Source organism: Homo sapiens, chromosome 2 (assembly GCF_000001405.40).
Source record: "Homo sapiens chromosome 2, GRCh38.p14 Primary Assembly".
NCBI lineage: Eukaryota > Metazoa > Chordata > Mammalia > Primates > Hominidae > Homo > Homo sapiens.
Genome location: NC_000002.12, coordinates 69,249,328 through 69,252,870, shown reverse-complemented (window position 1 = coordinate 69,252,870; position 3,543 = coordinate 69,249,328). Strand labels below are relative to the sequence as shown.

The window sequence follows — 3,543 nt, the reverse complement described above, 5'->3', positions numbered from 1 at the left end:
GTTAGGTTTATTTATAGTTAATTTCTGGTTAATTTATACACACACATGCACACATATATATATAATTTTTTCTATTATGAATGAATGAATAACTTGTTTCCTAACTGATCATTGATAGTGTTTTCCATGTACCTGGACAACTCTTATTAGTTCTAATAATTTTTAAGTTGATTCCATGGAATTTTTAGATAGTAAATTATATTCAAATCAGTTTTTTCTTCCTGATAATTATAATTACTTTTTCCTTTCATTTGTTTTATTGCACTGGCTAGGACCAAAGGTGGACAATAACACTGATGGTTGGAATCTTTTTCTTTTTGATTGTAAAGGTAATATTTAAAAATATTTTATGTTAAGTATATTTCCTGTAGGTTCGTGGTAGATACACTTTATCAGGTTAATGATGTTGCTTTTTTCCTCCCTATTGCTAAATTGCTAAGGAAGTTAAATTTTTTAAAAAAACTAATCACACTAAGACATAGTGATAGGATCACTTTTCGTTTTTACTAATGGTCCAAGATTAAACAGAGATAATTCTCTTTTAAGGATCTCATAAAAGCAAATATTGAAGGAGCCTATAAAAACGCCGATCTAAACATCAGAATGCACTGAAAACCAACAGTCACAGAAGTAACATGTAGAGTGGCCAGGGCCTGTTGAGAGTGAGCATTTGCTGAGGTAGCTTTCATGGGGCAAGTGAAAGTGTCTGACAAGTATTGGAGGTGGAATCAAAATCTCCTGGAGCTTTGCAGTCTTATTTCTTGTAGTGATTACATCACTGGGGTCAAATATAACACAGGCACTGACAATGGCCAGAAATGCTCATAAACACCCAATTCTGCCCAGAGTGGGGAAGGCAATCTAGTGTATGGCATCAGAAAGGATTATTTGTGGCAAATGCTTACAATGCCCATTTGAAGTAGGAAAAAGTATTTCTCTTCCTGGAGAGAAGACTGGGACCTACATTACTCCCCTTAGGGATGGGTTTATTCACCTGAGGTTTGAGACCCACCATCTTGGCCACCATTTAGAAGAAGAGGAATTGAACAGAGTCCACCCCAGCCAGGAGAAGCCCCTTCCTGCAATGTCAGATCAATGTGGATGCTTCTGCCTCATCTCATTTATGAACCACACTTTGGGTTTGCATGGAATATTTATCTCCACAGGAGCTTGGCTGGAAACGCAGATTATCATTAATTTCACACAAGTCTTTTACATTTACAGGCGTCCTGTAAATAATGTTAAGAGTAAAACTAAGCAAAAAGACATGGACTCTGTATCCTGCAAAGTTGGGGTGGGATTCACAGGGAAGCGAATGTCACACAGTGCTTGTATTTTAAAAAAATGTGAAGTTAGGGCTGTATAGGGTTTCCTGGCTACTCTTGGGGGTGCACATTTTTGGAAGGGACTCATCATAGGTGGTTGACAGTTCTCTTGTCTTACAACTTCTTTTTCAGAAGAAAGTGAAATGTTTTCTGCACTCAGCCCTCACAACCAGCATTTCTTGTACTTTAAAAATCCTTTGTAAGAATGTAAACTACTTAACTACCCAAAGGAAAATGTATTTTATGAGTTGCATCTATTTTAATGTTTACAAAGAAGTCCCAACTAAAGATGCTGGCTAAAGTACTGAATGTGCACAATTAACTGAATATCTTTTAACAGAATCTTGCTTTCAGCTCTCAAGTGACTCAGAGAAAATTGTGTTAGCTCAGCAATTGCTTTATAAGTACACTGCGAAATGGCACTTAAAACCAAGTAAAGGAGATGCATACTTTCAAACTCCAAAAACTAAAATGTCCCAACTTAAGTAGAGAAGGAAGAATCTTTATAACTTAGTGACTACTTGAATTTTGAGGAAAAAAAGAGAAAGGAATAAAAGATTACAGTGGTGGAATCATAAGGCTTCTAATTTGTTTAGATATGATAACTTGGGATGGGGTGTGGTGATTGAAAAGAACACAATACAATTGTAGTCAGCATAAAAATTACAATACAGTTGTAAAGAGAATAAAAATCATGTTTGGCATACGCCAACTCTATAACCTTATACCAAATATATAGTAACTGTTAAGTGACACCTGGTTTATAATGTATTTAGATGGACAAAGTATTATTCTGATTGTTTTGTATCTAAGTGATACTCCACAAAACAGATTTATCTGAAGACAGATTAGTGAAAAACGGTGGATCTCAAATTCATGTTCACAGTTAGCACCTGATAAATGATCTTATTCCCGTTATTAATGGTTCCTTTGTTCAACTTAATGCATTGGATCATTACTCAGGGTTATTTCAAGCAATTTCATGACAAAGTTGATTGATCATGCAAACAATATGTAGGATTTTAACATTCTTTATACCACACAGAAAACTTTTTTCACAATTCTAGTACTTTTCTAGCTTTATTTGTTACACTTAAATTCAGTTAGAATTTATTTTGGTGTAAGGAGTGAGGTAGGGCTCCAGCTTTTCCTGTTTCTTTTCAAATTTCTAACCCATTATCTCAAAACCATTTACGATTGGGAGTCTGAGGCAGGAGGATCACTTGAGGCCAGGAGTTTGAGACCAGCCTGGGCAACACAGTGAGACCCTATCTCTAAAAATAAACAAACAAAAAATCCACACACACACACACACACACACACACACACACACACACACTAGCCAGGTGTGGTGGCATATGCCCATAGTCCCAGCTACTTGGGAAGGTGAAGCGGGAGAATTGCTTGAGCCTAGGGGTTTGAGGCTGCAGTAAACCATGATTGCATCACTGCACTCCAGCCTGGGTGACAGAGTAAGATCCTGTCTCAAAATAACCCCCAAAACACAATTATTAAAGATATAATTTTAAAATGTGTTCATACCCATACCTATTAAAAAGCAAATACTAATGAAAACTTAGAAAAGACTTGTGGCATGACTTTCTGTTTGTGGATGGTTTTATTCCAATTAAGATGTATTCAAGGCTCAATGAGATCTTACAAAGAAATTCAGGAACTAGAAGGAGATGCTCTTCTACCTACAAAATAAATGGAGGAGCTGAATTAAAACTGCTAGGAGGGATAAAGTGAGTTGTATCAGAAATGCAGAAGCAATACAAAGATTTTGAGATGTACATAGAAAGGTATTTATTGCAGCACTGTCCACAACACTGTCTGGTTCTTGGGTTGCTGCAAATCTCTGGACTCCTTGTAAAATCAATCCTAGTTGCCTTTCTGCTACGTTAGCCAAACACAATCCTAACTGATGCAGTATATTTTTCCTGTGTGTTCTGTTTTCACTTTTTACTTATTTTCTCTTAGCATGGATTACATTTTTAATTTGAAATTTGTTATGAGAAATAAAAAATATTTTGAATGTCTGACAGCTAAGGAAGAAATGACAGTAATCCAGACAGTAGAGAAATTAGTGGAAGGCATGAAATCATTTGAGAAATGTAATTTAATGTATAGCACAGCAACCACTGTATTATGATCAGGATATTGAGAACTTGAATACGTCGCACTTTATAACAAACAGACAAATAACCAGAAAAAAGAG

General features: G+C 35.8%; 1 pseudogene; it reads left to right on the top strand.

Moving 5' to 3' along the window:
* Nucleotides 497-1,053, top strand: LOC100421347 (golgi reassembly stacking protein 2, 55kDa pseudogene; annotated as a pseudogene).